This window comes from Homo sapiens, chromosome 11 (assembly GCF_000001405.40).
Source record: "Homo sapiens chromosome 11, GRCh38.p14 Primary Assembly".
NCBI classification, from domain to species: Eukaryota; Metazoa; Chordata; class Mammalia; order Primates; family Hominidae; genus Homo; species Homo sapiens.
The window spans coordinates 69,126,356-69,139,347 of NC_000011.10; the positions used below are offsets into that span (position 1 = coordinate 69,126,356).

Here is a 12,992-nt window from a genome sequence, read left to right on the forward strand (position 1 = left end):
CTAGTACTTGCCAGTGCCCATAAGTCAGGAGCTGGAGTCCTTCCCAGAGACCTAGCAGCACCAGACGGTGCCTGGCGGACAGACGGCCCTTCTTGGTGGCCTGGTGCATGGATGCGGGTGCTGGCCTCACTGTGGAGTGCGGTCCGGAATGGCCTTTGTGTCTCACCTGCCGCAGGGGTCTGACTCTGACCTTCCTCAGGGACCCTACCATTCCAGGGTTCTGTACCCCATGCGGCGACTGTCCAGCCTTGCTTGAGGCCCACCTCTCCCCATATGCTGATGACACCGTCGTCCTGACAATAGCCTGAGAGGCAGGTCCTGTGTGGGTTGTACTCTGTGGATGGGGAGACTGAGGCACAGAGAGGTGAAGAGATTTGCCCGGAGTTGCAGAGCTCACGAGTGGCAGAGCTAGGAATCGGACCGGCTGCCTGGCTCGCATGCTCCTGAGAACTGCTGAGCGACTGTCCCCTCTGATAGCCAAAACCCTGGCTCTAGTCTTGGCTGTTCAGCCTCCTGGTTGCAGCTTCAGTGTCTCCAACTGTACCATGAGTGAATGGGACCCTCTGATGGCTAAGTTCCATCCAGCTCTGAGAGCCTCTGCATTGCCTGTTACTTTTTATTTTTAAAGTGATTTTGTTTTGGCGAGGAGGCTGAGGGAGGGTGAGGCCAGGTGGGTGGGAAAAAACATGAAATCGCTCAGCCCCAGGCCCTCCTAGCAGCTTAGTCCCTACAGATTGACGGAGGCCTTGCACACATTTCCCAGAGGCCGTGCTGGGAAGCCCGCCCAGCCGGATCCCGGCGCTTGGAAAAGCCCACTCTGTGTCTTGGCACTCGGGCCTTACAGCTGCCGGGGACTGGCTGCGTGAGGTCCTGGGGCTGGCGTGGCTGCGGCCGGGTGGGTGGGTGGGGGGGGGGTGTGCCGAGGGGCATGCATCCATCACTGCCAGCAGCTTGCGTGGGCCCTGCCAAGTCGTGGGGGAACCGAGCCCAGGTGCCAACGTGCTTGGTAACTGGCTTGCTATTTGAAAAATTAAAGCGGTGTCAAGAATATCTAACCTTTGCATTCATATCAGGAGTCTGGAGCCGGGCGGGTGGCAGCCAGAGTGGGGCTGTTTGTGCAGGGCGGCCAGTGGGAAGGCACCCTCGGAAGGAGCAGATTACAGCAAAGAACATTATCCACCCAGCACCCAGGAGGAGGCACAGGTGATAACTGGGGAGGGGGAGCAGAAAGCACAGGCGAGCTGACCTCTCTCTAGCTGCTGGGACCCCTGCAGGAAGGCAGCCTGGTGCGCACCTACTGTGTGCCGGGAGAATGTGCCAGGTGCTGGGGTGGATGGAGATGGGGTGGCACCTCCAGGACACACTGCGCCTGGGCCCATGATACTTGCAGGGACCCACAGTGATGTTTTAATGTCTTTTAAAATCAAAAGAAAGAAATGAACTTTTAGGTTGAAGAAATGATGGTTAATAATGTCCCCACATATGACCTAAAGTGATCTACAGATTCAGTGCAATCCCTATCAAAATAGCAATGACATTCTTCACAGAAATAGAAAAAAAACAATCCTGAAAGTCATATGGAACCACAAAACACCCCAATAGCCAAAGCAATCTGGTGCTAAAAGAACAAAACTGGAGGCATCACACTACCTGACTTCAAAATATACTACAAAGCTATAGTAACCAAAACAGCATGGTACTGGCTAAAAACAGACACATAGACACATGGACCACAATAGAGGGTCCAGATGCAAATCCATGCATTAATAGCCACTTGATTTTCAACAAAGGCACCAAGAACATGTGTTGGGGAAAGGACAGTTTCTAATAAATGGTGCTGGAAAAACTGGATATTCACATGCAAAAGAATGAAGTTGGACCCATACCTTACACGATACACACAAAAAGCTCAAAATGGATTAAAGACTTATTATGAAACTACTAGAAGAAAGCATAGGGGAAACACTTCAGGCTATTGGTCTGGGCAAAGATTTTATGGCTGAGATTTCAAAAGCCCTGGCAACAAAAGCATATAAAGAACTTGAACAACTCAACAGCAAAAAATCCAAATAAGATTTAAAAATGGGCAAGTATTCTAAATAGACATTTCTCAAAAGAAGACATACAAAGGGCCAACAAGTATATGAAAAAAATGCTCAACATCACTGATCATCAGAGAAATGTAAATTAAAACCACAATGAGGGCTGGGCGTGGTGGCTTACACCTGTAATCCCAGTACTTTGGGAGGCCGAGGCGAGTGGATCACTTGAGGTCAGGAGTTTGAGACCAGCCTGGCCAACATGGTGAAACCTGTCTCTACTAAAAATACACAAAATAGCTGGGCATTGTCATGCATGCCTGTAATTCCAGCTGAGGTGGAAGGATTGCTTGAACCCAGGAGGTGGAGGTTGCAGTGAGTGGAGATCGTGGCAGTGCACTCCAGCCTGGGTGACAGAGCGAGACTTCATCACAAAAACAAAAACAAAAACAAAAAACAGAAAACAAAACCACAGTGAGATATCTCATCCCACTTAAAATAGAAATAAAATTATCAAAAAGACAAAAACAACCAAACAACAAATGCTGGTGAGGATACAGGGAAAAGTAACTCTTATACACTCTTAGTGGGAATTTAGAATAGTGCAGCCATTATGGACAACAGTATGGAAATTCCTCCAAAAATTAAAAGCAGAACTACCATATGACCCAGCAATTCTGCTAGTGGGTATGTATACAAAGACTAGGAGATCAGCATGTGAAAGAGACATCTGCACCCACATTCTCACTGTAGTGGTAGTCACAATAGCTAAGAGATGGAATCAACCTATGTGCCCATCAATGGATGAATGCATAAAGAAAATGAAGTGCAAATACATAATGGAATACTATACGGCCATAAAAAAGAATGCAATTCTGTCATTTGAGGAAAAGTGGATGAGCCTGGGGACCAGGGAATGGGAAGGGTGACGGGGAGAGGGGAATAGGGAGAGATTGGTAAATGGGTACAAAATTACAGTTGGGCAGAAGGAATGAGCTCTAGTGTTCTATGGCACAGTAGGGGGACTACAGTTAATAATTTATTATATATTTCAAAATAGCTAGAAGAGAAGAATCAGAATGTTCCCAACGTAAAGAAGAGATACATGTTTGCGGCGATGGACATACCAGTCACCTGCTGTGATCGTTACTTGTTGAAATGGGATCATATACATGTATTGAAATATCACATGTGCCCTATGAATATGTACGTTATTATGTGTTAACTAAAAAAAAAATCCCCACAAAATTCACATCCACTTGGAGCCTCAGAATATGACCTTCTTTGGAGATAGGGTCTTTGCAGATGTAGTCAAGTGAAGAGGGGGTAGTTCTGGAGCAGGGTGGGCCCTGACCCCATGGCTGGTATCCTCATAAGAAGAAGAGATCCAGAGACACAGGCCGGGAAGACCATGTGCCGATGGAAGCAGAGGTTGGGGGGATGCGGCCATAAGCCAGGGAACGCCAGGAACCAGCAGAAGCTGGCAGGGGCAAGGAAGGACCCTCCCTGAGAGCCTTCAGCGGACCCAGCCCAGCCGACACCTTGAGTTTGGATTTCTGCCTCCAGAGCTGTGAGAGAATAATTCCCACAATTCTGAGCCACCTGTGGTAATTGGTTATGGCGGGCCCAGGAAATAATACAATGTATAATATTGATCTGTCTCTACTCCGGCATAGTTAGATCAATAGAATTCTTTGCAGGGTGCAGTGGCTTATACCTGCAGTCTCAGCACTTTGGGAGGGCTAGGCAGGTGGATCACATGTGGCCAGGAGTTTGAGACCAGCCTGGGCAGCATAGTGAGACCATCTCTCTACAAAAAATACAAAAATTAGCCAGGTGTGGTGGTGTATGCCTGTGGTCCTGGCTACTAGGGAGGCTGAGATGGGAGAATTGCTTGAACCCTGGGAGGTTCAAGGCCGCAGTGAGCTGAGATTGTGCTGCTGCACTCCAGCCTGGATGACAGAGTAAGACCCTGTCTCAATAATAATAATAATAATAATAAAATAATTTTTTTAAATGGAAGAAGGAATCTAAGTGTTCCTTCAAGGTGATGAACCTTGCCATTCCTGGGTGGGGGCCTTGATGGCGTGATGAGAGTGGGTGTGGGGGTTTGCTAGGTAGGTGGAATCTGCATGTGCAGGGAGGCGGGCCAGGGAAAGAGATGGAGCACTGGAATCAGAATCTTACGTTCCAGTCCTGGCTCTGCCATGTCTGGCTGTGTGGCCTTGAGAGGGAACATGACTTCCATAAGCCTCAGCGGCCGCCTCTGTTAACTCAGGCTCCCCACTGTAGAGGATGCTCCCAGGGAGTCGGGGAGGAAGTGCTATCCGATCCCAGGAAATGCAGCTTGCAGAAGCCCAGGAAATGCAGCTTGCAGAAGCTCAGGAAATGCAGCTTGCAGAAGCCCAGGAAATGCAGCTTGCAGAAGCCCAGGAAATGCAGCTTGCAGAAGCCCAGGAAATGCAGCTTGCAGAAGCTCAGTGGGGGGCCTCGAGGGCTGGCCGGTTCTACTGCCTGCTCAGGGATCGGGGCACCTCATAAATAAGGATATCTGTCTTCTGGAGTTTTCCATCCATGTTTCAAAAGAGCCGAGCCCTCCTTCCTTCAGAGGGTGTCCTCCCCAGCATTGTGTTCCCCTGTGACCGTGTTTCGATGTATTTTATCTATTCCTGACTTTGGAGGCCTGGTGATGTCAGAGGCCTGTTGGCTTGTGGTCCCTGCCGGCTCTTGTCCTGGAGGTCCTCTTAGCATCGTGCTGGTCCTAAACAGAGGCTCAGAAGGCTGTCCCCAACCTCTGCTGTCCCGGAGCCCCTTCCCTCTGGGTGTCTGTGCATCTAGGCCAGGCCTTGCTCGAGGAGGGTGCAGGCAGCCTGGCAGGGGAGCCTCTAGGCATGAGCTGGCCAAGGTCCCTGGCACTGTCCGAGCTGCCCAGGGGTGGCCCGGAAAGGTTCCCAGACTGCGATATCTCGATGGGCCACCGTGTCTTAGCATGGGCCGCCTGGTTTTCCACAGAAGATGTCTGGCCAATCCTAGAGCCACCAAATTTCCAGGCAGTGGGCTGTCCCATGTTCCCAAGAACAACCCTGGGCTGGCTGCCACACGGCTACTAGCTGTGTGTCAGGCCTACGTAGATGTACTTTGCATACACTATCTCCATTAGAGACTGGGGTGTAGATAGGATTGCAATCCACAATTCCCAGATGAGGAAACTGAGGCACAGAGAAGCTGGTAGGTGGCCCAGCCATGATGGGAAGCTAGGGTGGGAAGCGCTGAGGGAGCAGCTCTCCTCCTCAGGTATTCAGACCTGCCTAATGGTGCAAATGCCTCAGCCACATTCCTGCCTCTAGGTGGGGCATCTTGCACGTGTGTTCCCGAGGGCTTTGCCTGCTGGCTGGGAATTCCTGGGCTAAAGAGCTGAGCACTTGCATTTTCTGACTCCCATAACTGTTGGTCAGAACCGAGGTGGGGTGTAGAGGTCCTGAAGCCAGCCCAGAAAGGTCTGGTTTCTGACCCACCCACCAGCTGTTGCCTTTCCCTGCAGACCGGGAAACGCGGTGTGGACTCTCACTGCTTCTCCGGCTTGGAAACGGCGTTCCTGTCTTTGCCTTCTCCCTGGGGCTGGAATCCCTCCTGGACAGGCCTAAGGCATGTCATGGGTCCCCCTCCCTCCCTGCTGTAACCCCAGAGCCCCCATGGGGAACCCGCAGCTTCCATCATCCTCAGGGGCCCAGTGTCCCAGGAGGGGACTGTGGAGAGGTGTTTGTACTCCTGGGTGTGTCTGGGCTGCCACTTGCCCAGGGTCTGGGAGGTGACCTTGTGCCAGATGGGGCTGGAAGCTCCCTGAGGGTAGGGGCGGGGCTTACCCTGGTGCACCTGTGTTGCACGTGGCCTCGGATCTCGTTCCTGTCATGTCTTGGGGTCTTTTCTATTCCCAAGGTTGTCGTAGGAAGGCGTTTGCTGACAAATGAGACCTGGCTCCCTCCAGATTCTGATTCTGTCCCTCTCTTCGTGAGCCTGGATGGGTCGGGCCCCCTGAAGCCTCATGCTTTCCTCCGGAAAACGGGAGGAGGAGGCTGGCTTGCTGATCCCCAAGGTCTCTCTCAGGACAGCCTTAGTGGTTTGGGGGGTGATGCTGCAGTCAGGCCTGGGTGGAAGTCCCAACTCCATTCCAGCCTCCCTGGGTGGCACTGGGTGACCTGGCACCTCCAGACCTCCGTTTACTCATCTGTAAAATGGAGAGAACCCAGGGCCCCCTGGGTACCTGACCACAGGGAATGCAGCTCCTTGGTTGTTCAGCACCATTTCTGCCACGTAAAGAGTGTTGCTCCTCTTCCTTCAATGTCATTACTTTCAATGATGAGGAGAGTGAAGTGATTTTTTTTTTTTTTGGGTGGAGTGTTATTGAGCCATAATTAGCACACAGCAAAAGTGGCTCTTTTTACAGTTTGGTGACTTCTGACAAAGACACAATCGTGCAACGACCACTGTAGTCCAGGCATAGTACAGCGCTGTCTCCCAGAAGTCCCTCAATGCTGCCCCTTGGCCGTCAACGCCTGCCCCCACCCCAGCCCCTAGAAACCAATGACCTGGTTTTTATTCCTGTGGTTTTCCAGCATGTCATAGAAATGGAAGTGTGCATTGTGCAGCTCTCTGCCTGTGACTCTATCACTTGCCATATGCATTTGAGATTCACCCATGTTGTTGTGTGTATCTGTAGATAGTTCCTTTTTACTGTTGAATATTGTGTGACCATTGCACGAAGGCTGGGTTGTATGAATATGCCACAGCTTGCTTTCCCACATACCAGTTAATGGACATTTGAGTTGTTTCCACTTGTGGCTGCTATGAATAAAGCTGCTGCAAACATTTGTATCCGGGTCTTTGGGTGCACATATGTTTTCTTCTGGGCACATGCCAGAAGTGGGATTATCACTGGATTGTATGTTAAGTGTACATTTAACTGTATAAGAAACTGCCAAACTCTTTCCTGACATGGCTGCATCGTGTTACGTTCCCAACAGCAAGGTATGAGAGTTCCAGTTGCTCCACATCTTTGTCAACACTTGGTATTGTCAGTTTTAAATTTTAGCCACTTTAGTAAGTGTATGGTGGTTTTAATTTGCCTTTCCTGACTCTCTAATGTTGTTGAACATCTTTTCAGTTTGCCATCCAGTTGCTTATTTGCTGTCTGTTTTCATCTTTGGTGAAGTGTCAGTTCAAATTTTGTGTATTTAAAAAATAGGCGTTGTTTTTCTTATGACTGAGTTGTAAGAGTTCTTCTATGTTCTAGATGAGAGATATTTATAATGTACACAATTTGGAAATATTGTCTCGTAGCCTGTGGCTTGTCTTTTCATTTTATTAGCAGTGTCTTTTGAGGAGAAATTTCTGTTTTGATGAGGTCTAATTTATGATTTTGTTCTTTTATACTTTGTGCTTTTTGAGTCCTACCTAAGAATTCATGCCTGTCTCAAAGTTGCAGAACTTCTGCTCTGTTTTCTTCCAGGCTTGTAGTTGTAGGTTTTACATTTAGGTCTGTGACCCTTTGGTGTGAATTCACTTTTGTCTACAGTGCCCTGCAGTGCCCACGTCCTGTGGCCACCAGCAGCTGGCCAGGCTTTCCCTGTCACAGTTGCCTTTGTCCACCTGGGCAGCTGGCTTGGCCAAGTCTTCTTTGCCACCTGTGAACAACAGATGTGAAGCTGTTGGGCCACCCTGCGGGTTTTGGTGCTGGTGTCAGCCTTTGCCCAACTGTTTGTCCTCAGAACTGCAGGGTGACTGTATTAGTTCATTTGCACATTGCTATAAGGAAATACCTGAGATTGGGTAATTTATAAAGAAAAGAGGTTTAACTTGCTCACCATTCCACAGGCTGTACAGGAAGCATGGCTGGGGAGGCCTCAGGAAACTTACAATCATGGCAGAAGGCGAAGGGGAAGCAGACATGTCTTACATGGCTGGAGAAAGGGGAAGAGAAAACAGAGGGAAGAGCCACACACTTTTAAACAACTGGATCTCACTCATAGTGAGAACTCACTCACTATGACCAGAAAAGCAAGGAGGAAATCCACCCCCATGACCCAGTCACCTCCCACCAGGCCTTTCTTTTTCTTTTTCTTTCTTTTTTTTTTTTTTTTTTTTTTTTTGAGACAGAGTTTCGCTCTGTTGCCCAGGCTGGAGTGCAGTGGTGCAATCTTGGCTCACTGCAACCTCCGCCTCCTGGGTTCAAGTGATTCTCCTGCCTTAGCCTCTTGAGTAGCTGTGACTACAGGCACGTGCCACCACACCTGGCTAATTTTTTGTACTTTTAGTAGGGATGGGGTTTTGCTGTGTTAGCCAGGATGGCCTCGATCTTCTGACCTCCTGATCTGCCCACCTCAGCCTCCCAAAGTGCTGGGGTTACAGGTGTGAGCCACCACGCCTGGCCTCACCAGGCCTTTCTTTCAGCACTGGGAATTATAATTCAACATGAGATTTGGATGGGAATACAGAGCCAAACCATATCAGTGACCTTGTCTAGGGGACCCCAAGGCTGGATCCTGCCCACTGCTTAGAAAATGCAGTTGCTGGATGAGCCACCACTGCTGTCCTTTCCAGCCCCGGGCAGCTGCTGCTTGCCTGTGACCCAGGAGTTCTCCTCCTCCTCTCTGTCCAGCCTGGAGGCACCTTCCCTATCTGTGTGTGGGCTGAGCCACCCAGCCCAAACACAAACATTTTTATCAGACTCTACCCACTCTCCTCACCCGCCAGCAGGTTCCTGGCCCCATTTCTCAGGGTGGGGGGAGTGAGTTATTTGTCTAAGGTGGAACAGTGTGAGTGGCAGAACTGGGAATCGATCCCTCGATGCCATGTAACTTTCCCAGGTCAGGTCTCACCACGTCAGGCCGCCTAAATCTGCATCCACGCGGGAACCTGGGTGTGATTTAACCAATGTCATTGGCAGGAGCTTATTTCAGGGTGAGGGTGCTGCCGGTCCCCCTCCTGGACAGTGGGTCTCCTCCGGGTTGCAAATTTCTTGTGTTTTGTGTCTCTTCCCTCAGTGACCCAGGAGGCTCTCACGTGGAGTCCCCAGAACAGCATCAACTCCTCACGATGCTCCTGACGGTGGTGGACAGACTCTCCATGCCCCGATGAAGTTGTGAGTCACATACATCCCCGTCCACAGCACCCGGTACTCAGTAGGTGGTCCCATAAATGTTTGTGGCACAAGTGAATGAACTTGGAACCATCCATCTAGTGGAAATTGTAAATTATAACAAAACCCAATGGACCGTGAAAGCCAGGGTCAAGGCTGGGGCCTGCTGAGGCCCTGTCATCGAGGGAGTTTTTGTGCTGGTAAAGATGATGACTGCCCTGGTGCAGGGCCCGTGTAGCCCAACATGTCTAGTCCGTGGCGGGCTCTTACTGGGGATGAGGGGCCTCCAGGAGGAGCAGGCCTGGGCACAGACTTCTGACCTGGGCACAGTTGGGAAGGGTGACAAGGGGTCAGAGCAGGCTCTTGGCCTCAGGTCAAAGGACAGGAGTCCTCCTGACTCTGCTGTGTCTGAAGCCCACAGTGAATGCAATGCAGAAAAAGCAGTGCTTGACCCTTTGTTTTCTCCGGGGTTAGGATCCCTGATATGATTGGGCTGTGTCCCCACCCAAATCTTGCCTTGAATTGTAATGATCCCCACATGTCAGGAGTGGGGCCAGGTGGAGATCATTGAATCACGGGGGTGGTTTCCCCTGTACTGTTCTTGTGGTAGTGAATAAGTCTCATGAGATCTGATGGTTTTATAAAGGGGAGTTCCCCGGCACATGCTCTCTCTTGCCTGCCCCCATGGAAGATGTGTCTTGCTTCTCCTTTGCCTTCTGCCATGATTGTGAGGCCTCCCTGGCCATGTGCAACTGTGAGTCAATTAAACTTCTTTCCTTTAAAAATTACCCAGTCCCAGGTATGTCTTTATTAGCAGCATGAGAACAAACTAATGTGATCTCACAGAGAGCAGCGCTGGTGGTCAGAAGGAAGCTTCTGTGTTTGAGGAGGGACACTCAGGTCCCACCCCAAGCCCATGCCGTGACCTGGGGCTGCAGTTATTTTGATTCCCATTATGTGGGGAACCAAGACCCAGAGAGGGAGGACACTTGCCTGGGACTGCCCAACTTTGGAAGGAAGATCCTGCCCCTCAGTTGGGGAGGCCTGGATGGCACTGGCGGCCGGGGAGGTGCGGCAGGAGCGAGGACTGATGGGTGAGTGCAGGCTGCATGCAGCCTTGCTGGGACCTTGTGGGAGGGGAGACCCTGAGTCCTGATGGGAGTTCGAGAAACCCAGGACCAGCAGAGGTGAGGAACAGGCCTGGCCTGCTTTCCTCCTGTCCGTGAGCTGGCCGTGGGTTCCACCGACACGGCCCTGCCCTGGGACCTTGGTGGACAGGCAGAGAGGCTGTGTATACATCAATGGCCTGGGTTCCTGCAGGGCTCAGGGTCCCCTGGTCTCAGCAAGGGCCTCAAGAATGGCTGGAGAAGGGAACACACCTTTGTCAGGGACTGTCCAGCTGCCAGGCTTGGTGCTGCAGCCTCTCCACCTGCAGCCTCACCAATCCCTCCAAGCTGGGGTTTCTCCACTGTGGTGGCACTATCCACATTTTGGACAGGGTAATTCTTTGTGGAGGCTGTCCTGTATGTTGTAGGATGTTCAGCAGCATCCCTGGCTTCTATCCACCAGATGCCAGTAGCACCCCCCGCAAGCCCTGCCCAGCATGACAGCCAAATATGTCTCCAGACATTGCCAAATGTCCCTCTGTGGGTCCCCTGGGTGAGAGCCACTGCTTGCCATCACTCCGCATTTCGAGAAGGCAAACTGAGGCTCTAGAGAGGCCGAAGACTCACTCACAGGCACCTGACATGTCCAGGGAGAGCTGGGGCTTGGTTAGCTCACAGTCTCTCTCCCAGCAGGGCTGGAAGCCCAGGAGAGCTTGTTGCATTCCCTGCTGCATTTTCAGGGCTTGGCACTGTGCCTGGCACACAGTAGGTGCTCAGGGACTTTGCATGTGAACGGTGAGTGAGTGAATGAGCTGATACAGGAATAGGTTCTGGGTTGGTCTCAGGTTCCCAACTCTGCCCTGCTTCCTCCTTGCGTGGCCTTCCAAGTGGCTTAGGTTCCAGGTGGAGGGTGTGGCTCTTGTCACCGTGTGTTCCCCTGTGACTGTACTTCAATGCATTTGTATCTCTTCCTGGCTTTGGAGGTCTGGTGACATCAGAGGCCTGGGGTGGGGCCAGGTGGGTGTGCTGAGTTTGTGCTGGTAGTGTGAGCCCCCAGCTTTGGTGCACGCGTGTGGGTGCATGGAATGAAGGCCTTTGGAGCATGGGGGCATCAAGGAGCAAGCAGAAGTGGCAGTGCCCAAGACAGGGCAGGCAGGGCTGGGTGGACACTGGAGCCAACAGCTGGTTCCAGTCCTGGGTCAGACATGGCCGAGCTGAGTGACCTGGGGCAATGAGCTGAAGCTGCCTTTGTCGGTGGGATGGGGATGCCAAGGATACCCTCTTGCCCAGGGAGTCAGTGGGATACTTGTCAAGTGTGTACCTTGACCCTGCCTCTGCGTAGCAAGGGCCTGGCAAAAGCAAATTCTCATTCTCTCTAGAGGCAGGAGTTGCTCCAGTCACTCTCCTGCTGAGGAGTCCCAAGTCTGCTCTGCTCTCTGATGCTATCATTAGTATCATCTGCACTCCTGTACCAATGGTCCAGGTTCAGGGGCATGAGGGAGCCAGCAGGGTCTTGTCCTCAGGGGCTCCTGAGGTTATGGGAGTGGACACCGTACCAAAGTGTATGTCAAGTTCACTGTGTGGGGCCCAGGGGAGGGTAAAATTGTGGCCAACCCTCAGAGCAGTCTTCCCAGGAGTGGGAATGGAGGTGGGCTTGACCCTGGCTTCTGAGGAAGGGAAGGACTCTGAAAAACCAAAGAGGTATGTATCAGTTGTTTATTATTGCACAACAAATTTCCCCAGCACTTAATGGGTTAACACAAGAAGAAACATCTATTATCTCACACAGTTTCTGTGGGTCAGGAATTTGGGAGTGGCTTAGCTGGGCAGTCCTGGCTCTGGGTCTCTCATGAGGTTGTGGTCAAGGCGTTGGCTGGGCTGCATCATCAGAAGGCTTGACTGAGGCCAAGGATCTGCTTCCAAATGCAGATTCTCATGTGTTTGGCAAACTGGTGGGAGGCCTCAGCTCCTGGCAACGGAGACCTCTCCACAGCAATGCTTGAGTGTCCTCACAACGTGGTGGCTGATTTTCCCCAGAGCATGTGATCCAAGAAGCCACATCTTTTATCATCTAGCCTGGAAAATCACACCCCATCATTTCTATTGGTTGCAGAGGTCAGTCTTATTAAGTGAGGGAGGGCACTACACAAGGGTGTGGATACCAGTGGGGAGGAATATGGAAGCCATCTTAGAAACTGGCTACAACAAAGAAGGAGATGCATTCCTGGTGGGGCCCCTGAGCCAAACCTTATCAGTTAGGTTCCTACAAGCCTTGGCTACATTTTTGCCAACTGATCAATACGTACCTTTGTTTTATGTGTGTTTCTGTTGGAAGACACCTCATTTTCTATCTGTGGCTGACTCATTAACACTGAACTCATGGCCAGCAGCACCATACCTCATGCCTGAAAGAGGCTCACCTAGCGCAAGTCTATCTCCATTAGGCATGTCACAGCCTTTCCAATTTAGGAACATTAGACGGCACTTTAAGTGGTAGAATCACAAGCAAAATGCACAAACACGTGGATAAAGTGGCATTAAGTACATCGCAGAAATGACACCTGTTTCAGTACAACAGGTTGAGAGCCAAGACAAGAAGGCTGTGTGTCGGCTGGTTCAGCCTCAGCTAGGAACATGGACGTCAAGCAGTGCAGACGCTTTGCCACCTGCACATGTCTATATGTGGCTAGAGGCACTGAGAGTGTTGATTTG

General features: G+C 51.1%; 1 annotated feature.

Annotated features, from left to right (window-relative positions):
• Nucleotides 9,716-9,765: an enhancer, noted in NCBI's record as "active region_5153". NCBI's record gives its function as "activates an Ori minimal core promoter by ATAC-STARR-seq in GM12878 lymphoblastoid cells {active_cell/tissue: GM12878}" and the evidence as "EXISTENCE:reporter gene assay evidence [ECO:0000049][PMID:35858748]".